At 51.8% G+C, this 21,873-nt stretch overlaps 1 protein-coding gene and 1 non-coding gene across 9 annotated transcripts in view, besides 15 other annotated features; one reads left to right on the top strand and one right to left on the bottom strand.

Moving 5' to 3' along the window:
- Window positions 1-21,873, top strand: part of MIDEAS (mitotic deacetylase associated SANT domain protein) — a 75,164-nt gene that overhangs the window by 16,601 nt on the left and 36,690 nt on the right. For 3 of the 8 annotated variants that reach the window (NM_001367710.1, NM_194278.4, XM_047431915.1), the window contains exon 1: window positions 13,382-13,922. The exons of the other annotated variants lie outside the window; for them this stretch is intronic. The gene's annotated coding sequence lies outside the window, so the exon portion shown is untranslated. Of the gene's footprint in view, window positions 1-13,381; window positions 13,923-21,873 lie in introns of those variants that run through there. 8 annotated transcript variants of the gene reach the window in all.
- Window positions 1,926-1,985: an enhancer, noted in NCBI's record as "active region_8717". NCBI's record gives its function as "activates an Ori minimal core promoter by ATAC-STARR-seq in GM12878 lymphoblastoid cells {active_cell/tissue: GM12878}" and the evidence as "EXISTENCE:reporter gene assay evidence [ECO:0000049][PMID:35858748]".
- Window positions 2,106-2,175: an enhancer, noted in NCBI's record as "active region_8716". NCBI's record gives its function as "activates an Ori minimal core promoter by ATAC-STARR-seq in GM12878 lymphoblastoid cells {active_cell/tissue: GM12878}" and the evidence as "EXISTENCE:reporter gene assay evidence [ECO:0000049][PMID:35858748]".
- Window positions 11,015-11,536: an enhancer, noted in NCBI's record as "H3K4me1 hESC enhancer chr14:74228852-74229373 (GRCh37/hg19 assembly coordinates)". NCBI's record gives its function as "activates a minimal SCP1, AML or CMV promoter by ChIP-STARR-seq in naive H9 embryonic stem cells {active_cell/tissue: H9 hESC(naive)}" and the evidence as "EXISTENCE:reporter gene assay evidence [ECO:0000049][PMID:30033119]".
- Window positions 11,114-11,413: an enhancer, noted in NCBI's record as "active region_8715". NCBI's record gives its function as "activates an Ori minimal core promoter by ATAC-STARR-seq in GM12878 lymphoblastoid cells {active_cell/tissue: GM12878}" and the evidence as "EXISTENCE:reporter gene assay evidence [ECO:0000049][PMID:35858748]".
- Window positions 11,537-12,059: an enhancer, noted in NCBI's record as "H3K4me1 hESC enhancer chr14:74228329-74228851 (GRCh37/hg19 assembly coordinates)". NCBI's record gives its function as "activates a minimal SCP1, AML or CMV promoter by ChIP-STARR-seq in naive H9 embryonic stem cells {active_cell/tissue: H9 hESC(naive)}" and the evidence as "EXISTENCE:reporter gene assay evidence [ECO:0000049][PMID:30033119]".
- Window positions 12,975-13,304: an enhancer, noted in NCBI's record as "active region_8714". NCBI's record gives its function as "activates an Ori minimal core promoter by ATAC-STARR-seq in GM12878 lymphoblastoid cells {active_cell/tissue: GM12878}" and the evidence as "EXISTENCE:reporter gene assay evidence [ECO:0000049][PMID:35858748]".
- Window positions 13,725-13,964: a silencer, noted in NCBI's record as "silent region_5918". NCBI's record gives its function as "represses an Ori minimal core promoter by ATAC-STARR-seq in GM12878 lymphoblastoid cells {active_cell/tissue: GM12878}" and the evidence as "EXISTENCE:reporter gene assay evidence [ECO:0000049][PMID:35858748]".
- Window positions 14,095-14,244: a silencer, noted in NCBI's record as "silent region_5917". NCBI's record gives its function as "represses an Ori minimal core promoter by ATAC-STARR-seq in GM12878 lymphoblastoid cells {active_cell/tissue: GM12878}" and the evidence as "EXISTENCE:reporter gene assay evidence [ECO:0000049][PMID:35858748]".
- Window positions 14,605-14,714: a silencer, noted in NCBI's record as "silent region_5916". NCBI's record gives its function as "represses an Ori minimal core promoter by ATAC-STARR-seq in GM12878 lymphoblastoid cells {active_cell/tissue: GM12878}" and the evidence as "EXISTENCE:reporter gene assay evidence [ECO:0000049][PMID:35858748]".
- Window positions 14,866-14,938, bottom strand: MIR4505 (microRNA 4505). Its single transcript, NR_039727.1, has one exon. It is a non-coding gene; the product is annotated as a microRNA 4505 (primary transcript).
- Window positions 15,365-15,414: an enhancer, noted in NCBI's record as "active region_8713". NCBI's record gives its function as "activates an Ori minimal core promoter by ATAC-STARR-seq in GM12878 lymphoblastoid cells {active_cell/tissue: GM12878}" and the evidence as "EXISTENCE:reporter gene assay evidence [ECO:0000049][PMID:35858748]".
- Window positions 17,025-17,319: a silencer, noted in NCBI's record as "tiled region #1827; K562 Repressive non-DNase unmatched - State 2:TssF". NCBI's record gives its function as "represses a minimal TATA promoter and a strong SV40 promoter by Sharpr-MPRA in K562 cells {active_cell/tissue: K562}" and the evidence as "EXISTENCE:reporter gene assay evidence [ECO:0000049][PMID:27701403]".
- Window positions 17,106-17,185: an enhancer, noted in NCBI's record as "active region_8712". NCBI's record gives its function as "activates an Ori minimal core promoter by ATAC-STARR-seq in GM12878 lymphoblastoid cells {active_cell/tissue: GM12878}" and the evidence as "EXISTENCE:reporter gene assay evidence [ECO:0000049][PMID:35858748]".
- Window positions 18,589-18,668: an enhancer, noted in NCBI's record as "active region_8711". NCBI's record gives its function as "activates an Ori minimal core promoter by ATAC-STARR-seq in GM12878 lymphoblastoid cells {active_cell/tissue: GM12878}" and the evidence as "EXISTENCE:reporter gene assay evidence [ECO:0000049][PMID:35858748]".
- Window positions 18,699-18,768: an enhancer, noted in NCBI's record as "active region_8710". NCBI's record gives its function as "activates an Ori minimal core promoter by ATAC-STARR-seq in GM12878 lymphoblastoid cells {active_cell/tissue: GM12878}" and the evidence as "EXISTENCE:reporter gene assay evidence [ECO:0000049][PMID:35858748]".
- Window positions 19,069-19,318: an enhancer, noted in NCBI's record as "active region_8709". NCBI's record gives its function as "activates an Ori minimal core promoter by ATAC-STARR-seq in GM12878 lymphoblastoid cells {active_cell/tissue: GM12878}" and the evidence as "EXISTENCE:reporter gene assay evidence [ECO:0000049][PMID:35858748]".

Raw genomic sequence — 21,873 nt, 5'->3', positions numbered from 1 at the left:
CCTGCATGCACATGGGCCTGTGGGACCACTGGTGAGCACAGGGCTTATATTGTTTGCAGAGTATGTTTCTAGAACCTAGAAGCACATGGTATTTCCAGAATCCTCTTTAGGAACCCATGAATGTGTGTGTTTGTTCCGGGCCCCTGGAAGATCAGCTTGGAGAAACCTGAGTGGTGGAGGGAGTGGGTTGATGTCCAGGGAGGGGTGGGCTCATTTTGGAAAGGACAGAATGTGGGATCTGTCTTTGTTTCTGACTCCACAAGGCCTGCTCTCCCCTCCTTACTCATCCCAGCCTCTACCTTCCTACCCACACCTCTCTGTCCTCCTTCGTCATCTCTCCCTGGAAAATCAATTGTATTACCTCCAACATCCACCAGTCATAGGGTACGTATTCCGAATAGCAGGGACGCTGAGGAGCTGGGAAAAGTGCATTATAAGAGTAGATCCTGATTGGTAGGATTGACAGGTGTTGCTAGGAAAACTACTTTGGAAAATAGATAATCCGGGTAACTCACAAAGAACAAATATACATTAAAAATGTATGAGAAGCCAGGCGTGGTGGCTTACATCTGTAATCCCAGCACTTTGGGAGGCCGAGGTGGGCGGATCATCTGAGGTCAGGAGTTTGAGACCAGCCTGGCCAACATGGAGAAACCCCATCTCTACTAAAATTACAAAATTAGCTGGGTGTGGTGGTGCGCGCCTGTAACCCTAGCTACTCGGGAGGCTGAGGCAGGAGAATCACTTGAACTGGGGGGTGGAGGTTGCAGTGAGCCGAGATGGCACCACTGCACTCCAGCCTGGGCGACAGAGCGAGACTCTGTCTCGAAAACAACAACAACAACAAAATACACACACACACACACACACACACACACACACACACACACTAGAACTTGAAGCTGTAAGAAAATGTTAATTTCCTTTGATCTATTAGTATTGCTCTTGAGAATTTAAGAATAAAGAATTTATTAATTCTAAAAAGGAAAAGAGCTCTAAGTACAAAGATATCTATTTATTATTTTTTTAATCTCATACCTTCCTGCACACCAAAGATATTTATAGCAACATTGCTTAAAATAGAAAAGAAAAAAAAACAAAACCAAAACTGTAAACAGCCTCAGTGTTTCATGTGGCTGTATAATTCATGATACCTAGAGTCAGTGAGTATTGTGTCACTGTTATCTTAATATGAAGATAATGTTGTTTCTTGGGAAAATGTTGATGAATTTAGATGAAAAAAGTAAAACACAGAATTGCATAAGTGCATAAAAACTGATTACACTGCCCATAGTAAAAATTGGCATAATGCCAATAACTGGATTTGGGCAAAGAGGTTATGGGTAGAGCATGTGTGTGTGTTTGAAATTGCTTTAATAATTTATATAACATCTTTTTTTTATTTATAAGACAAGGCCTTAACTTCAAAGACTTTGGATTTGGGTGGGAAGGAGGCCAGGGGGAGGGACTCCCATCTGTTACTACCAGGAAAACCAAACAGCTCTGTCTTTATCAGCTACCGGCACTGCATGCAGGGGCTGGAGGATTCAGATGGGCCTGACTTCATAGACTGGCTGAGTAACTCGGGTTCACAGCGTGGACTCTGCCTCCAGCCCCCAGCTGGCTCAGGGCCCCAGACGATTTTCACACCTGCGTTTTCATGGAACCAGCCCAGTGAGCACGTGAGGCTTTGAGCCACCCGCCCACTCACCTCTGGGCTGCCTCTTACTTCAGGCCCCTGCCACAGCAGGAGGAAGCTGAGTCTTTCTTCTGCAGTTCCAACTGGCAGCAGGGAGGGTGTGCTTTGCTAATTGACCTCCTGCAGCCTTTTCTAACCCAGGTGGGGCCCTAGTGAGGTAGCGTCTTGCTCACTTACATTGTTGCACATATTAATTGAAGTGTTGAATTTAGTTGCTCTTTAATGCTAGCCACATCCATCCAGTTCACATCTGACCTAGCAGGCAGGGCCGTCTGACCCCACGTCTTGCCGTGAGATCTGCTGGGACGCGCAGCTGCAGGTTTGGGTGTGGCGCTGAGCAGCTGACTGTCTTCTGAGCACCTTCTCATATCTCTGTGGCATCTCAGAATCTCTGGACATCTGGTGAATGGCCTTCTCACCCACCACTCCCCTCGTGTGTAGTAGCCTTTTCTTCTGAGTGGAGAGCCTTATTTTCTTAACACGTGGAGTGTCTATTTGGAGGGTCCATGATCATCCCGTTGCTGTGACCAGCCCAGGAATGTGACCAGGGCAGGACAGGGAGACTCCTTGGTGTTGTGCAGAGTCCCCAGGTGGGTGGCAGCTGGAGAGCCCCCGGCGTACCTTGAGTTCGCAGGTTGGAGCCTGCTGAAGCTCTGCCCGACAGAATGCGTGTGGAGGGAGGCCCAGACCCAGCTGGGGCCCTGGTTATCTCCAGTGTATATTTGCTAAAACCAAATTTCAGAACTGTCAAAGACTGGAGTTTGTTCTTCTGTGATCAGATTGAAGTAGGACCTTGTGGCTGGAGGTGTGCCAGGGTCAGAGAGAAAATGGAGAGTATGGGCTCAGGGCACGCCTGGATGCTCATTAGGGGTACTCAGGCCAGCTTCATGTGTTCCATGGCAAGTGATGGCTGTGTGTGTGTGTGTTTGGAGGTGGGGCTGGTGACTGTCTCTGTGCTTTTCTAGAATATCGTGTTTATTCCTAGATGCCCCAACCTCATCTTCACGCCCTACAGTGGCATTGAGCCTGGTTCTGATCATTGCTGGTCATGTGAATATTAAGTGCCATAGTGTCTAAGGAACAAGCTGCCTTCTCGAGCCCAGGCCCCAGCAATAACTGTTCCTCTCAGTTCCCTAATTTAGAGACCACGTGTGTGCCCCAGGGTTGTCAGCAGCTCGGTTTTTTGAAGCTTGAAACACATTTCCATAGAAACAATGCTATAAATGGTGGTTGGGTACCTAGGCTAGCCCACAAAGAGCCCTGGTGTCACCTCAGAAGTTGCTGAAATAAGGTATTAGTGAAATTGAGAGCCCAAATGCAGCAGTCATAGTTAGTACCCAGGACGCTGGAGGTTAATTGGTGTGGGTTTATTTGTGTAATTTCCTTTCTTTGGTGAGAGGTGTTTCAAAGCTCTCTAGATAAGGGATGCTCTGTAGGCACTCCCCCGCACCATCCCCACCCAGTCACAATCCCTCCTCTCCCGGTTTACATTCCTTCTTCTTTCCTCATCAAGCCAGGGGCCTGGGCCTACCTGCCCTCTGGTATGTTTATGATGAGGAAATCCTGTTCAGTGGCCCTTACATCATCATTGTCATCATCACCATCATCATCATCATCATCATCGTCATCATCATCATCACCGTCGTTACTGTTATATAAATCATCTTGATCAACTTAACAGAATAAACATGACACCTATTTAGAATTCTCTTCTGATTGCTTCTAATATTCCTTTGCAGTTTTAACACAGCTTATAAGTTCACCTGACATATTTTTTGGTGCTGATTTTGTCACTTAACATGACTTCACCAAATGGTTTCATCAGATAGTTTCCCTCTGTCCATCCTTTCATATTTCATTCTGTTACTCTTCCTTACCGTACCATAATCTGAATGGGCTCTATATACAGGTGCTGTGGAGCATCTTTTGTAAAAACTTCCTTGTGGTGACATTTTAGATTATTTTTATGGGATATAGTCCACCAACCGTAATTACCTGGTCAGCGTTTTAAACTCTTGCAACACTAAATATATACACCTACAATATACCCGCAAAAATTAAAAAAAAAAAACAAAAAAAAAAACCCAGCCGGGCACGGTGGCTCACACCTGTAATCCCAGCACTTTGGGAGGCCGAGGCGGGCAGATCACCAGGTCAGGAGTTTGAGACCAGCCTGGCCAATATGGTGAAACCCCGTCTCTACTAAAAATACAAAAATTAGCTGGGCGTGGTGGTGCGTGCCTACAGTCCCAGTTACTCGGGAGGCTGAGGCAGAAGAATTGCTTGAACCCGGGAGGCAGAGGTTGCAGTGAGCCAAGATTGCACCACTGCACTCCAGCCTGGGCAATAGAGTGAGACTCCATCTCAAAAACAAAACAAAACAAAACAAAACAAAAACCCTCTTGCAACACAATGCCAAATCACATTCTAGAAAGATTTAAACTGTTTATGGTAGCACAGCAACGTATATGCAACTGCCCTGCCAACAGCAGCTTTCCTGTTTTATTTATTTACTTATTTTCATGTTGGGGCGGGCCATAATGGGGCCTTAATGATATTCCAATTTGCATTTCCTAAATTGCTGCTGATGTAGGTTTTTCCTCTCGATGATTTACTGATGTGTTTCCTCATGTGTCAAACCCTGCTCATGTCCTGTGACTGCAGAGCCTCCCGCCTCATTTATCTCCTTGAACCACTTTCCTGTTGGGAAACGGCAAGTCCTCTCTTCCTCACTGGCCCCACCCCTCACCTTGTCTCACTCATCTCCACACCTGCCCAGCTCACCACCTCAGTGACTCTGGGGAGGGAGTGAGAGGGAAAGACCCTGGAAGCCCTTGTGATGGAGGCCACAGGGCAGGAGGTAGATGCGAGGGAGACCCTGGGAGGAGCCACAGGCTGTTAGAGCTGGAGGGGGCACTGGAATGCATCTGGCCCAGGAGTTACGCACTCAGAGGCCAGCAGAGAACAGAAGGGATGAAATGACAGAGGCTGGCAGAGTGTGATGATAAATGACAGTGACTCGTGGCCTGGGAATGGGTGGGATCTTTGGAAAATTGGAAAGTCTATCCCACCTAAGCAACCCTCCCTGGCAGTGCTACTCAGTTCCACCTCCAAGAAGGAGGTTTCCAATTTTTTTTCCATGACAAGCCAGAAGTTCTGATTTTTAGTTTGTTTTCTGATTTAAAAAAAATATTGGCAATAGTCTGGGTGCAGTGGCTCACGCCTGTAATTCCAAAACTTTGGGAGCTGACACTGGCAGATCACCTGAGGTCAGGAGTTCGAGACCAGCCTGGCCAACATGGTGAAACCCCATCTCTACTAAAAATATAAAAAATTAGCCAGGCGTGGTGGTGCACACCTGTAGTCCCAGCTACTCGGGAGGCTGAGGTGGGAGAATCGCTTGAACCTGGGAGGTGGAAGTTGTAGTGAGCAACAGAGTAAGGCTGTGTCTCAAAAAAAAAAAAAAAAAAAAAAGTTGGCAATAAATTCAGTTAAAATAAAACATAATATGTGAGTCAAATAAAACACATCTGTGAGGGAGAATGGCCCATGAGGCTCCAGTCTGTAATCCCTCATTTTATTAAACTTCTTATTGGGAAACACGGGCCCAGAGAGGTATCCTCATGTAGCAGAGAGAAAGCTTCAGAGGGTCCAGAGGTCAAATGCCATCTGTATGACCTTGGCAGAGCTGTTTAACCTTCTTGAACCTCAGCTTCCTTATCTATAAAATGGGAAAAATGGCTTCCTTCAAGGGTGCTGGGGTGGACTCAGTAGGCTCATATCATCTCAAGCATGTATTTTTTATTTTTTAATTTTTTTGAGACAGGCTTTCTCTCTGTCACCCAGGCTAGAGTGCTGAGTGCGGCGGTGTGATCTCGTCTCACTGCAACCTCTGCCTCCTGGGCTCAAGCGATTCTCCCCACTCAGCCCCCCAAGTAGCTGGGACTACAGGCACACACCACCATGCCCGGCTAATTTTTGTATTTTTTGTGGAGATGGGGGTTTCACCATGTGGCCCAGGCTGGTCTTGAAGTCCTGAGCTCAAGCAATCCACCCACCTTGGCCTCCCAGAGTGTTGGGATTACAGGCGTGAGCCACTGTGCCAGGCCAATGTCAGGCATTTAGTAGCTGCCTCACAGATGTGAGAAAAATCCTGTGTAGGTCATCCAGAAAATTAGAGGAAGAAATAGGCTTAGAACTTTTCTCTCATGACTCCCAGTGCAGAGCTTGTTCCACATTACATGGGCCTACTTTCATGGGAGTTTCCAGAGGTGTCTGGACACAGGGGTCCTTCTTAACTCTGGGAAATTGTAGGTTATTTTATGAGAGCCTTTTTCCCCCCACCCTTGAGACAGAGTTTCCTTCTGTTGCTCAGGCTGGAGTGCAGTGGTGCAGTCATAGCTCACTGCAGCCTCAAACTCCTGGGCTCAAGCAATCCTCCCACCTCAGCCTCCCAAGTAGCTGGGACTAGAAGTGCATACCACCACACCTGGCTAATTTTCTTTATTTTTTTTTCGAGACAGGTCTTGCCGTGTTGCCCAGGCTGGTCTCAAACTCCTGGCATCAAGCACAATCCTCCTGCCTTAGCCTCCCAAAGCGCTGGGATTATAGGCATGAGCCACCATGCCCAGCCCCTATGACAGCTTGTTTGCCCAACAGCTACTGAGCTCAGATAATGGGCATCATAGCTCTGTGGGCTTTGCAGTGCAGGCCTCAGAATTTAGGAGACTGAGCCTCAATAGTTATTGATAATACTAATACCATACACCACTGAACCTAAGAAGCCATTGATTAGAAGATGTAGTGTTATTTTATATACAGCTAAGAAAGAGGCCAGGAGTGGTGGCTCACGCCTGTAATCCCTGCACTTTGGGAGGCTGAGGCCAGCGGATCACTTGAGGTCAGGAGTTTGCGACCAGCCTAGCCAACATAACGAAACCCCATCTCTACTAAAAATACAAAAATTAGCTGGGTGTGGTGGCGAGGCCTGTAATCCCAGCTACTTGGGAGGCTGAGGCAGAAGAATCACTTGAACCCAGAAGTCGGAGGTTGCAGTGAGCTGAGATCATGACGCTGCACTCCAGCCTGGGTGACAGAGTGAGACTCCATCTCAAAAAAAAAAAAAAAAAAAAAATGGCCGGGCAGTGGCACACGCCTGTAAACCCAGCACTTTGGGAGGCTGAGACGGGCAGATGATGAGGTCAGGAGATTGAGACGACCATCCTGGCTAACACGGTGAAACCCCGTTTCTACTAAAAATACAAAAAATTTAGCTGGGCATGGCGACAGCTGCCTGTAGTCCCAGCAACTGGGGAGGCTGAGGCAGGAGAATGGCATGAACCTGGGAGGTGGAGCTTGCAATGAGCCGAGATTGCACCACTGCACTCCAGCCTGGGTAACAGAGCTAGACTCCATCTCAAAAAAAAAAAGAAAAGAAAAGAAATGGAAGAGGAAGTGCTGCTAATTAAACTATACAGGCTATCAATTGTAAGATGCATCCTGATTTCAGAGATGTTAAAATGGAGGAAATGTGTATCTTAGAATCAATGAAATAGAACAGTAATAAAAGTAACAGCAATCTGTTACATTGTATTGCTTACTTTAAATATTCACATATACTGTTTTATTCATGCATTTATCAACAGGCATTCACTGAGCACCCACCATGTGCAGGCACTGTATAGCTACCAGGGATACTAAGGTGAGGAAGATCTAGGCTGTGCCCTTCAGGAGCTCCCATCCTAGTAGATGGCACTCTGATTCCAGATATGCTGCAATAAGCAGGTGTAGAACAATGTGCAGGTGATGGAGTAAAGATAAACAGAGGATGCCATGGGAGTTTAGGGAACAGAGTGGCTGTCTGGTCCTTAGGAGCAAAGACAGAGGTTTGGGTGCATGGGATTTATTTAAGAAATTGTCTCTGGAGGAAGGGAGGAAGGGAAGCAGGGTAGAGCCGGGGAAGAAGCCAAGTAAGGAGGTGTGTGTTGCTGCTGGAGCATGAATTGCACCACTATTGAATTGGTCCCACCAAAGGCCCCTTTTGAGAATGGGGTAGCTGTGAGTCCTTGAAAGCCAACACTCAGAGCATCTGGGGGACATTGTACCAACTTTACAAAGTAGATCTGGGGCTCCAACAGTATACACTCCAGTGTCCTTCCTCTACTTGGAGGAGTCAATGAACGCTTCCTGGAAGAGCTGCCATTAAGGTCAAGTCTGGTGGGAGATCTGGGTGTGGGATAATGTGGGGATCAAGGTGGCGAGAGAAGGAGCATGTGTGAAGATATGAGGGTGAGAATGCAGGAATCTTGGAGAACTTCAGGTTGTTTAGCCATGTGGGCTGAGGCTGGGAAGTGGGGCAGAGCCAGATCGTGTGGGAAAGGTGCCTAACAGTCTAGCTAACAGTCTCAGCTTTATGCAGTAGATGATGGGAGCTACTGAAGAGAGGTGTGATCACTCTGATGGCAGTGTGGATGGTAAAGTGTGCAAAACCAGAAGCAAGGAAATAGATGAGAAAAAATGATAGCCAACACTTATAAAAGACTTAGTGTGTGCCAGACACTGTTTAAGTAAGCTCTTACTATCATTCCGATTTTGCAGATGAGTGGTTGAGTAACTCGCTGAAGGTCATCAAGCTAGTGTGAGCCAAGATTTGGACTCAGGTCTCAGCCTGTGCTCTTAACCTGTACACCCCCATAAGCATGAATGTTGGATTCTAGTCCATGATGTATCAGTATTTGTTTTCATTTAAAATCAGTGCTTTAAAGCATGCCCTGTTGCACACATTGGGTCTCTGGAGTTCCTGTTCCTCTTGGCCCATTGCCACAACACAGGGAAGCCAAGCTCCAGTGAACAGCCAGTGAGGAAGTCTGTCTGGGACTAGTTCTGCAGAGGGCATGGAACTGTGCTGAAGGGAGGCCTTTGAGAAGTTGGCAGCTCTCGGTCTGTGAAGAAAGGGCGTTTCAGTCCTGTGGCTCTGCTGGCCTGCCCTCCCTGGCAGCCACACCTGTTTTGTCCTTCTCCCTACACCCGGCCAGACGTCTCTCCCAGAGTGACAGCAGCAACTGGGGACATGTACAGAGGCTCCTTCTCAGGCCTGACAAAGGCACTCAGAACCTGGCCCAGGCCTGCAGGGCAGGGAGGCTGGGGAGGGGGCAGGTGGGAGGGCCAGGGACACAGACAGCTGTGGGCTGGTGTGGCAAGCATGGCCCTGCCCCAGAACAGGTGAAGTCAATGTGAGCGGAGGAGGAGGGTCCCCTGGGGTTTTTTCCAAGGATAAAAGAGAAGACAGTGCAGAGACATCTCAGCACACAGTGGCTTAACTTCATGACTGGGGTGGTTGTGAGCTCGCGGTTTGCTCAGAAAAGACCTGGCAAAAAGGGCTGAGAAGACACAGCTGGTGGAGGGGTGTTCCTACTCAGGCTGGGAGGACAGCCCTGTGGAAAAGTGTGGTGGAAAGGACACAAAGAACAGGCTGGGAGAGAAGCGTTGGAGGACACCCCTGATGAGACATTGAGTCAATGCCAGAAAAAGTCTCTCTAGGCAGTGCCCATGAGAGGGTTACCTGAGGCCCATGGGGTCTTTTCAGGGAAAAGAACTAGGTGGTTTTTTTTTGTTTTGTTTTGTTTTTTTTTTTTTTTTTTTTTTTTGAGACAGGGTCTCCCTCTGTTGCCCAGGCTAGAGTACAGTGGGGCAATCTGGGCTCACTGCAACCTCCATCACCTGGGTTCAAGCAATTCTCATGTCTCAGCCTCCCGAGTAGCTGGGACTACAGACGTGCGCCATCACACCTGGCTAACTTTTGTATTTTTGGTGGAGACAGGGTTTTACCATGTTAGCCAGGCTGGTCTCGAACTCCTGGACTCAGATGATCCGCCCGCTTTGGCCTCCCAAAGTGCTAGGATTACAGGCGTGAGCCATGACGCTGGGGCTGGAACTAGGTTCTTAAGAAGGGATAACCTAGGTTGGGGAGGAGATACAGGGTAAAACAGTAAAAATAATTAATTGTAGCCTCTTATATGTACATAGCATGATTGAGTTATAAAGCAGTTTTTTGTCCTTTTGATCCTCTCAAGCCCCTGGAAGGTGGGCATCCTTTCGTTGTTCATGCAATGAACACTTAAACAGTGCATCTGTTATGGGCCTAAAAAGTGAGGTTCAGGGAAGGTCAGTGACAGTTTTCCTAAGTCCCTGTGTTTTCTACACCCTTCTTTTTTTTCTGTTGTAATTGTAGGTAATGAGGTCCTGGAGGTTGTACTTTAGTTCTCTAGAGGGAAACGACAATAGGGACACAAGAACACAAGGGACATAGGGACCTGGCTGGCATTGTGGACTTGGGATGCCCTCAACAATATTTGTACTCCCAGTTCCCCAGGCTCTGGTAAAGGTTGGTTGTTTACTTAAACACACCACGTGTGCTGGCCTCATTGGGGGAGGAACAGTGGGAAAAGGACAGCAATGCAGGTATGGAGCCTGGGGAGAAAGACACTTCTCTTTTAAATAGTGATGATGGCTGCAGACTTATTGGAGGAAGGTGGCTGGGAGGTGAGAACCTGGCTTCCTTGGAAGCTTTCCCCCAACTTCGTAACAGCTTTATTGAGATATACTTCACACACCATAAAATTCACCCTTGGAAGATTTTCTTTTTTCTTGAGACAACGTCTCACCCTGTCACCCAGGATGGAGTGCAGTGGCGTGAACACAACTCACTGCAGCCTTGACCTCATGGGCTCAAGCAATCCTCCTACCTCAGCCTCTTGAGTAGCTGGGACCACAGGCATGTGCCACCACACCTGGCTAATTTTTGTATTTTTTTGTAGAGACTGGGTTTTGCCACGTTGCCTAGGCTGGTCTCTAAACTCCTGCGCTCAAGCACTCCTCCTGCCTCAGCCTTCTAAAGTTCTGGGGTTACAGGTGTGAACCACTGTGCCTGGCCTCATCCTTGGAAGATTTTAATGGTCTAGATACTGCTGATGAAACACAGGGCAGTGACAGACCGCTCTGAGTGGAGTCCAGAGAGCTGATGTGGCCCTAGGAAGCCTCTCAAATTTGCCATATTCTACCTTTATTGGGAATCAGAGTTTAGGATTCTGTCTAGGGTGCTTTATTTCCTGGAGTGTTTCTCTCTTGTCACACTCCCTGGTAACTGGAGCTCTGTACTCCTTTTTCGTGCAGTTTGTAAAGAGGGTTGAGGGTGGAGAAAATCCAACTCTGTGGATAAGGTCTCTGGAACACCTCCCCATTTCCCTGAAAGGTCAACCTTCTTGGTTGCCCCAGAGACTTGTAGCAGGGGCTGGAGCTTCTAAAACCAAAACTTTCACTTCACACGTCAGTGATTCTGCACCGTCATATCTGCAGCAAAACTGACCTCCAGGGCTTTCCCGGAAGCGCTGCAGCTTTCTTTACATAGCCTCATCTGCCCGCCTTTTTGAGGTAGACTTCTCCTGCCAAGGGGGGGCTATTTGGTATAGTCTTGAGCCCTCCTCCCCTGCACACATGTGTGCCCCTTTTCTTCTCTCTCCTTTCTTAGGTGGCCTGAATTTGGAAGTTTAGCTGTAGTGAAGGGCGGTGCCGCTCCAAGGTGAGCAAGGCTCCTTCAGGGCCACTGACTTCTCTGTTTCCCCTGCCACCTGCCTCCACTATGTATGCTGCTTCCTGGGCCACTCCTTTGGAGTGGCTTTCACCTGTTCCCTGAAGGCTGGGCCCTGGCTCCATGATGGCAGGCTCTTCTAGCAATGTGCTTCCCAGTCAGGTTTTCTGGTTGGTTGGGAACATCCCTGGGCTGGTCTGCACAAGCTCTTAGGGGCTCACTCTGGGCTGGCCTAAGGCCAACTGCAGGGGCTGGGCTCTCAGGGGAGGTGAGGATGGCCACAGGTCTGCAGAGGAACTTGGCAGCAGTGGGCACTGGAGACCAAATGGCTTTGCTTTTGCTTCCCTCACTTGGATGTGTTGTCAGTGGGAGGGAAGAAATCAGGCAAATGAAAAAAGTAAAAAGGCTCTACCCTGATCCTTTGCCAGGAGCCCTGAGAGTCTGGCCTCTGCTTGGGGGTCTGCAGGCCTGAGCACTGCAGTTCCTCAATTGCTCACTGCCTTCCTCTGGGGGAGGAGCAGAGAGGTCACAGATGCTTGGCTTGCCCTGTGACCTGGTGCAATTCACTTAACCTCTCTGAACCTCAGTACATCCACAGATTGAGAGAGATAAAACTCACATGCAGGGCTCTTCAGGAGACTGTATGGAGAAGTGCTCTGAGAGCTGCCAGGAACAATACTGTCATCACAGATGCTAAATCGGGGAGCCCGGGCTTTTTTTTGTAGAAGGTGGTTTCCCTAGCTCCTCTATTCACTTACTGTAATCACAGAATCATGGATCTTGAACTGGAAGGGATCTCAAGAGGTCCTCTGGTCCAGTCCTGTGGCATAATTACCTGTATTTTGTAGATAAGATTGTTTTAAGTGTTCCTTATTTTGACATATCTATCATAACATGGTGCAAATAAGCCCTTCTCCTCTTGGGGAGGTGTGACTTCCAGGTGTACATGTACGCAGGTGCTCCAGCCAGCAAAGAGGTGGAAGAGGACAGGAAAGCCATGCCCCCTTAGAAGCAAGTGCAGGTTTGGCAGGATTTCTGGGCAGAAGATCCAAGTTTTGCCTGTGTCCTCCACACCCCACCCTGGCCCTGTAGGCCCAGTGAGTGTGTGAGAATCATATTCTGCTGCCCCTCCCTCCTCTTCTCCCTGAGAAAGTGAGGGATGCACCTGGTTCTCAGGTCTGGCCACAGTGTTTTGAAAAGTGGCTGCCAGGACACATGGTATTCTTCGGTGGTTTTTCTTTCAAAGGAAAATCTCCTTGTGACCCATCTCCTTGAAAAACAGCCACCGCCACCACCGCCGCCGCCACCACCACCACTGCACCACCACCAAAAAACTTGGAAGGAAGAATAGGACACACTCCCCTGAACTTTCCCCTGGCCCTAGAGCCCCATTGAATGTGGGGGCCAGAACCAACCTCTTGAGCTGCAAAAATGTTTTCCATCTTCCCACCAGTCAGGCAAGGAGGCATCAAGGCCTGGACCTGAGAATTGATCAGGGGGATATTTAGGGAAGACAGGGGAAAATGTGAGTATGGAGTGAAAAGCCGCTCAACTCTGGCCTGAGTTGCTAGATTTAAATCCAGGAGATTTTCCTCACCTAAGCGATGGAGATGGTGGGTCCTTTCTAGGGACTGAGGCCAGTTTCTCAATAACCTTTACACGCACCAGGACGCTTTTGAGCCAGAAAGTGAAACTCGGAGAGTCTGTTAATAAAATGCCATGGAGAGGATTGTGCATGATTTACCGTATCCAAAACCAGAGAGAGTTTCTTTGTGGAAGAAAGCGACTTGTGCCTTCCCCAGCATCACACACACACTTTCCTGGCAGGCTCAATGGGTTTCCAAACATTTCGTCACCGTCTCCTCCTGACCTTGGTGTGAAAGGAACTAGCAGCGTGGCCCGCCAGCAAAGCCATCGGGGGCGCCAGCCTGGGCGGGGGATGGGGACGGCGACCGACTCGTGAGTGGAGGTGAGGTCTGCTGGAAATCCCCAGCCCCGGCCGCCGCCTGAGGTTTAAGGACGCCTTCCCCGGCCTTATTTGGTCGCAGGAAGTGGGCGGCGCCGGGCCTGCTGGCTGAGGCCGCCCCGAGACAGTTGTGCTGATGAAGTGGTAGAGCTGGTTCCTGCTCGCCGCGGTGCCGCGCGCGCCGGCCGGCCGCTGGGCGCTCCGCGCTCCCAGCCTCGAGTTGTGCAATCCTTTGTAGCACGCCAGAGTCCTCCTCCTCCGCTGTTGCCTCTCGCCCTCTCTCTTTTTTTTTTTTTCAAGCTGTGAGCTCAACCGATGAGTCAGAGCCGTGCAATCCTGACACTGCATCGCAGGACTGGGGGTGACACGGAGGGAGGCAGAGCGCTCGCGAGGCGGACGGCACGGGTGCGGGGCGCGCCGAGGCTCCTGCATCGCAAGCGGGGGGTGACAGCCCGCGCGTCCCGCCCGGGCCCTGCCAGCAAACTTCTCAGCCTCGGGAGGCGCGGGCTGGCGGAAGCCCCGCGAGCGCCGCGGGGAGGCGACGGCGCCTGTTTGTTTTTAAAATCGGGAGTGCGTGCAGGCGGCTGGAGTCCCGGAGGCGACCGAAGGCGGCGACCCGCGGCGGAAGGGGGACAGCCGAGCCCGGAGCCCGGAGCCCGGGCAAGAGCTGGGTAAGTGGGGCTGCCTGGCCGGCGGCCGAGGCCTGCACGCGGCGGGGCCGGCGAGGGGACCCCAGGCGGCGCGCGAGCTGTGGCTGCTCGCACGGCGGGTTGCAGCTCTGCAGGCGCGGCCCGGAGAGGGGGCCGCGGGGGCCGCTGCGCTCGAACTTCTGCGGCCTGGGCGGCGGTGGAGCGGGCGCGTGTGGCCGTGCGGGGGCCGCCTGCAGCCCGCCGCCCCCTCCCCCGCGGTCCGCGCCCTCGGCCCGCAGCTGCGTGTGCAGCGCAGCCCCGCGGTGTTTGTGCAGCTACGCAGCTTGCGCGCGGCCCCCGCCCACCCGGGCGCGGCCCCGCCAGGAAAGCCCTCCCCACCCGGCGGCCCGCGGCGGCTCGGGAATCCGGCTGCTCCTCCTCCGCTGGAGAGAAACGTGGTGTCCGTGGGGACCGGCTGACGTGACGGAGCCCAGGCCCGGAAGGCGCGGCGAGGGGCTAGCCAGCTGAGGGAACTTGGCGCGGGAGCCCCTTCCCCTGCCAGCGTGCACGGGAAAGTGGGCCTGGACGCGGCGTCCACGCCAGGAGTTTGGGGGACAGAGGTGCAGGGGCGTTGGGGAACTGGGGCAAATGCAGTCAGCAGAGGCCTAGGCTGGAGCGCTTCGCGCGGGCGGGCGCACCTCAGACCTGTCATCCTCCCGCGCGCCCCCGCACGCCCGCGCCGCCGCAGCCCTCCCAGCCCGCGCGGTGCCTCGCGGGGAGCTGTGTTCCCTGGTGCCTGGCGGCAGCGCCGAAACCCGGGATTCGGCCGGGCCCTGCATATGGCCGGCTTGGTGGAGCTGGTCACGTCGCCTCCCAAGTCGCACATGCAGGACCATGTGTGTCAGGTTGCCCCCAAGGCCTCTGGGTAAAGGTCTAGGGGAGGAAGGGGAACTTCGTGTGCCCTGGGGCCTTCAGGCTTCAGCCCCAAGGCGGGCCGACATGGAGGAGGTACCTGCCACAGAAAGTGGAGGCCGGGTGTCCGTCCCAGCCCAGCCTCCAGCGAGAGCTGGTGAGAAGATGAAAGGGGAAGTTATATGCCCCATTTAAAACTTTGTTGGTCACAACTACGGTGGCTGCTTCCTGTTTCCACCATCCCACGTGGGACCTGTGTGCCAGCCTGTGGAGCCTCGCGCGGGGGGCGGTGGGATGGGGGAAGAGAGGCTGGCCACGGAGGCCCCGGTGGCCCGCGTATGCAGGGGATCCCTGTTGGCAGCTGCGGCTGGGGGAGGGAGGGGATGTCTGGCTTGCTCCAGCAGGGGGAGCCTGGCCAGGTGATCTGGGATCTTCTTGTTCCTGTAGCTTCAGGGTTGAGACTGAAGGCCTAGTGAAGGTGGACCGAGAAGCCAGTCCTCCCTAGGGGGCCTCAGCTGAGGGGAGAAACCACCTGTCTTGCTCTAGAGCCTCCCACCAAAGGTGTGGCACACGCCCCTTTTGGATCAGAGAAATGCACCCTTTCCTTGGGTGTTAAGTGGCTTCAGAACCCAGGGAAAAGGAGAAGCCTTCCCGGGTTGAGAATTCGTAGGTCTTCCTTTTCCAACTGCTCTGGACAGTGAATAATAGGAGCGTAAACATTCAATTACTGTGATAAACCATCTCGTTGCATGGCCCTGGTCCAGTCTCCACTCTAATTGGATTGGCCTCTGGCTGGTTACTCTGGTCCGTGTAGCTCCCGGGGGGACAAGGGGGTGAAGAACCTGGAGGATGCCCCCAGGTCATACAGCTTGCCAGCTTGCTCTGGAACAGCCTAGCCACTGCCAGTGTGGCCTCTCCAAGTGCCAGCAGAACCCCCACTCCCGTGACTCTGTCAGCTCCTCACCCCGCCCCAGGAAAGAGCGCCCTGGAGTGCCCATGGGGATGAGAATTTAATTTTTACATGTGGGATTTTAAAATAGCCCCAGTGTTTGACCCTGTGTGCTGCTGCTTTCAATAAGTGGAACACAAGAAAAGACAACATGCAGTTGTGGATTCAGCTGAGGGCCTCCTGTGTCTAGAGTCCCCAGAGAAAGGCTGCCCAGGGGTGCCAAGACCTCTGACAGAAGAGGGGAAGGGGAATGGGCCCAGTCCAGGAATCTTCAGGTTGAGAGCCCCTCTCTTGCATTTGGGTCTCCCAGAAGAAAACTTTGCTCATGCTGGGGTGGGGACAGCCACAAAGTGGCTGGGGGTTTCCAGCTTATCCTTCTAATCCTGTTTCAAATGCCACTTCTGAAGGCTGTAGCCATCTTCTGAACACTCATTTCCACCTTATGTAGTTATTTGTGTACATACTGCAGTGTGGTGGTCAAAAACAAAGACTCTGAGTTAGAGTTCCTATACAGTATCTCCTTCATAGAGTTGCTGTGAGGATTCTGTGAGTTAGTATACGTAAAATGCTTAAAGCACATTTCAGTATTTGGTAGCCTCTGCTTGAATGGGTCCCACAATGCTGCTTGGCATCTAGTAAGTGTTTAGTGTTTTTTTTTTTTTTTGGTTGTTAGAGATAGGGTCTTTCTCTGTCGCCCAGGCTGGAGTGCAGTAGTGCGATCTCAGGTCGCTGCAATCTCAGCCTCCTGGGCTCAAGCAATCTTCCCACCTCAGCCTCCCAAGTAGCTGGGACTACGGGTACACATCACCACACCTGGCTAATTTTTCTATTTTTGTAGATATGGGGTTTTGCCATGTTGCCCAGGCTGGTCTTGAACTCTTGGGCTCAAGAAATCCACCCACTTTGGCCTCCCAAAGTGCTGGGATTACAGTCTTGAACTACCTCACCTGGTCTTAGTGCATGTTAGTTGAACAAATTAGTGAAAGATCTCCATCAAAAAAAATGTGTACTTGTCATGTGTTGGGCCCAGTGAGTCCCTGCTCCTGGAACCTCCTCAGATTGCATCACTGGTTTCAAAAATGTCAGTCCACCGTGGGTGATTCTGGGGCTGGTGAACCCAGTTTCCTGGCACTGCCCTGTAGCTGGCCTTGTGGAGTGCATGTGTCGGTCATCCTGACCCTAAGGGGACCTCAGGGTGAAAGAGTTGTGGAGCCATCTCCCTAGGGATCTGCTAGCCTGGGCACTTCCTTTGGTCAGCCCAGATTGGCACCCTTCCTGTGTGTGTGCAGGCGTGCATGCATCAGTACAGAAGCAGCCTGGGGCTCCATTCTTCCCTGACTCACTGCAGGTGGCAGGAAGCAGAGCCAGTGGCCGCATTCTGTTGGAGGAATTGCTTCTTTCTGCACATGAGAACTCTTGACTCTGGGACTGAAAAATTGCATGCTGGGCCGGGGCTAGGGTGGAGTAGGCTGAAATCCCCAATTCTTACTAAGGGACCTGCATTTGCATTCGAAGCAACATTCAGGATACTGTGAGACTATGAGCTCATTTTATGAATCAGAAGCATTACAGCATAACTTTAATGTTGGAAACTGCAATTTGGAATCCAGATCACCCTCCCTCCACCTCAGCGCGCACGCGCGCGCGCACACACACACACACACACACACACACACTGACATGGGCTCTCGCAGTCACACACTTGGGAGCAATAATAGTTGGAGCATCAGTTCAGATTCTGGAGGCCTCCAGCAAAATTCATCCACACCGACTTCTGCTTCCACACTCAGAACGCCGTTCCTGGATGGTGTGTGGACAGTCACTTGGGCAGTGACTGAAGGAAGTCTGATGGGTGCGTGGGAATGAGGCCTGGGCAGACCTGAGTTCATACCCCAGCATCTCCTCTTGCTGTGTGGCTTTGGGCATTGCTTAACTTCTTGGGCCTCAGTTGCCTCACCTGTAAAATGTGGATGATACTAGTACTTCATAGGCTGTGAAGATTAGACAGGATTATGCATGCAGAGTGAATGACACATACTAGGTATTCAACAGATGGCAACTCTCATTTCACCAGTTCCCACTGGATCCAGTGTGTTTGCCTTTGACTCCTATCAAGGAAGAGAAAATGAAGGGTGTCCTGTTTATAGTAGGAAAGCAATCTACCAGGCCACTGAAGCTTGTATAAATGAAGTTTATTGTGCCCTGGGAACAACAGCTTGATCCACTCCACCCTAGACATGTGGCCCAGACCCAGTGTCTGTGTGCCTTTGAGAGGGACTGTGGCCCTGCAGCCGAGGGTTGAGGGCCCAGCTTCCCAGAGATCAGATTGTGCTCTCAGGAACCTACCCGCCCAGGCCCCAGGCTGAGCTGCTCACGTGGGTGGGCAGGAGGAAGGCTGCTTTCTCAGCCAAGGAAAAAAAGTCCCCTGTTTGCTTCACCTGAAGCCTCGCAGTGTGACCTCGCAGGAGGTTTGGGTAGAGCCAAGGGTGGGAGTTTTTCCTTAAAGACTGCTTTGGCTCTTTTACCCATTAAAATTATGTGCAACGGTGAAGGAAACACCAAGAATTATATAAGAAGAAAGTTGCCACTGTCAGAGGAGAGCCGGAGTTGTGCTGGGGTGGGGCTGGGGGTCTCCCTGAGGGCTGCAGTTGCTGGCTGTCATTCTCGGCTGGTGGGGAAGAGCTGGTGGGGAAGAGCCGGGGCTTGGGGCTGAGGCTTCCCTGGCAGCCGCCCTTGCTGTTGCTCTTCCTGGAACACAGCCTCGTGCTGTGGCCAGCCAGGGAAGGTGCTCCCTGTTCCCTCTGCCTTTCTCCCAGCCGCAGGGAGCTTTCGTGGTGAGAGCATTTTTTCCAGGCAGTGCTTCTTCCTTCAGGAGTCCTGGGAAGGAAGGAGAGTGGGGAAAGCACAGGGCAAGGTTTATCCCAGTTAAAGCTTGGATGGAGAGAGTGAGCTACAGTAGGCTTGTAGCTGGCCAGAAGGGGCTTCTCTCTAAAGCCGCTCAGCTTCTCTGGGGAATTGGAATCCAGACAAGAAGGAAAATGGTGAGAGATTTTGATTCCCTGCTTTTCCCAGTAGTTGGGCAGACAGAGGACCCTATCCAACTTACCGTTGCCAGAACTTGCCATTTCTTTAGTAGGTAAGGCCCCCATAGCTCAGAAATGGGCTTAAGTGATAACTTGCAACCCCGAGACGGCATGTGAGCTGGCAGTTCCTGGCACAGATCCTCCTCCCCTCCTGGCCTTCCTCTGTCTGAGGCCCCAGCTGGTCTTGGGTCATAGTCCTAATTCCAGAGCTGGGAAACCATTTGGGACATCTAGTCCGAATCCTTCATTTTCAAATGGGGAAGCCGAGAGGTGGTGAGATGCTTGAGGTTGTAAAGACTGTCTCCACTTTCACTTTGGGAGGGTGGAAAGGGACTGCTCCTGTGTCCTGCGCCTGGTGGCTGCTTCTCCCAGTTTGGAAGCTGGGAGGGCAGCTTGAGCGCAGGAAGAATCCAAAGGAATACTGTCTTGGCTCCTGGGTGTGGCTCAGTCCTCAGCTGGCTCCATAGTTATTTATTTGTTTGCATGTGCGTGAGTGAGTCCTGTGGTTGGGAGGCTGGATCTGAGTGAAAGCAGAAGTACCCACACTGTGTCAGCTGTGCAGCACACAACGGGGGACAGTTGGGAGGGGAAAAACGGGGCAGAGGCCCATCTGCATGGTGGCTGCTAGTTGTGCTTTCTGTCCCTGTTGCAGTGCTTGCACACTTGAGTGTAAACAGCCCTTCTGTGTTGCTAGCAGCTGCCTTTCCTTACTGGCTTTGGGCAGAAGAGGCGCCAAAAATAACCAGGCGGGCACTTCCACTTGTGGGACATTTACTGTGGTGGCCTCTGGGCAGGCTTGCTTGCTTTCTGTAGGCCCTGTGTCTCTGCCACACTGGAGTCCCTTCTACTTCCTGCAGCCCTTCCTCAGCCTCCCTCTGGCCATCGCACCTTCCCCTTTATTGCTCTTCTTAGAGTGAATCCAGGAGGTGGCGGCTCATCCTTTGGGCCTGGAAGCTCTGCCGGTATTATCTGGGAAATACCCTCATCCCCCTGTATCCCTGTAGGCAGGCCCTGCTGGCATAGCTGAGTTTAAAGGAGGCCTGTGCTGGGTGCCCTCTGGACTTTCTGGCCAGACCTCTCTCTCCTGGGTCTGTAGGCCGGAAGCTCTGCGTGCCTGCAGAGCCCCACACTGTTGCTAGGACTTTGAGTCTCCCTGTCCCGCCCTTGCCTGGCCAGCCTTGCTCTCAGCCAGCTGTGGAACTGGAAGAGTTGGACTATTCATTTCCTCCAAGGTGTTAAAGACTGATAACGATGTCTGAGCCACCCCTACCCAGCAAGGGAGACAGGAAACACATTTATTGAGTGCGTACCCTGTGCCAGGCGGCGCTTCATCTATGTATTACCTCATTGAATCCCACAATAACTGAGATGAAACTGTTGTGCCCATTCACCAATAGGGAACCCCAGGCTCACAGAGGCTGGTGATTGGAGAAGCCAGCACACATTGCCCCTGACTACTTTTACCCTGCAGCTCCCACACTTCCTCCGGCTATTTTCATGTGCACAAGGAACAATGCTTTGATCCTTGGTATGAAGTGCTGATAGTAGGAATTCAGGCACCATTAGACTGGCTGGTAGGGGAGATATCTTGGGCTGGGAAGGGTGGGGAAGACCTCCCTGCTGCCTCCCTCTCCAGATGCTTCACAGGGCAGCCAGGAGCCCAGCCTTGAGCCCTGAGGCCCTTCTGTGGAGGACTCAGCTGTGGGCCTGGGGACTGCTCGGCCAGGCACATGCACAGGAAGAGGGGAAAGGCTTGGTTTCAGCTTAGTGTGGGCTTCCTGGGGACCTCCCAAGTGTGTCCTCCCCCTTAAAGGTATCCCAGCCTCTGAGGTACTGAGAACAGCTCTGGGGAATCAAAGGCTGGGGCTAGGTGGAATCTTTGGTCTCCCTTCTTGGCTGCTGGGTCTGACCTGGGGCCCATCATTCCAGCTGGCTTGGCCCAGGTCCCAGAGAGTCTGGTTGGTGTGTACTTGGGGCTTGGGCTGGATGCTCTGCTGTGCCCGCATGCTGTGCCAAAGGCCTCTGGGTGTATTTCAGGAACAATAAAGAATAAATCAACATAGGAGAAAAGGCCCTGCAGCAGCTGCTCAGAGACTGGAGAAATGCAAAGAATGTGTGAGCCTTTGGCAAAAGTCTTGCATCTTGACCAGGGCCTGAGGAAGGGCGTGAGGCTGATGTGATGGCTCTGGAGTCAAATGGGCGTCTGTCTGTGCCCAGTTTGCAGCCCTTCTAGGAGGCCCCAGGCAGCCACACTGAGACTCCCCTCCCTCTGCTGGTGGCAAATTTTTTTGCTTCCTGGTCGCTAGCATGTACTAGGGAGCCATATTGCCCCCGTTCTTTACTCTCACACTACACTGCCAGACACCGACCCATCCAACCCCCAAGCACCAGGTGGGTCTTGGCCCTTTCCAGCCCTGACCAGTCAGGAGAGCCTGGGTTGATGAAGACTTGGTAGGCTTGACACACATGCTACACCCCCTGCTTTACCTCCCCCAGACGAATGTCAAGGACCTGGCAATGCCAGGTCTAGGGGTGCTAAGTGTGAGAACATCTACCTGGGAGGCCGTCACTATAGCTCTGCTCAGGTAGTCAGCCATGTGTCCTTAGGCAGGTCATTTTACCTTTGAGGTCTTGGTTCTATGAGCCATGAAATTGAGGTTTGGACAAATGATCTTTGGAGTGAGTGGGCACCTCTGTCTCCTCTACTCGGGATGTGCGATGAATATATTTTATTTAGGAAGTTAAGTTATTGGGAGAAGCAACACTCTGAGAGCACCATGTGGAGATATGGGTGGCTGTGGCTGGGGGCTAATGCTCAGTGTCCTGAGTGGGGGAACCCAAGCAGAGACCTGATTTGACCCAGAGCTCAGGGTGCCAGGAGAAGGGACAGGAGCCTAGACTCCATGGGGACTTGAGTTATCTGACAAGCAGGGGAGAGCCAAGACTTTATTTATTTTTTTGAGACAGAGTTTTGCTCTTGTCGCCCAGGCTGGAGTGCAGTGGTACGATCTTGGCTCACTGCAACCTCTGCCTCCTGGGTTCAAGCGAT

The sequence above is a fragment of the Homo sapiens genome, chromosome 14 (genome assembly GCF_000001405.40).
Source record: "Homo sapiens chromosome 14, GRCh38.p14 Primary Assembly".
Lineage (NCBI taxonomy): Eukaryota > Metazoa > Chordata > Mammalia > Primates > Hominidae > Homo > Homo sapiens.
This window is presented reverse-complemented; position numbering and strand designations above follow the sequence as displayed.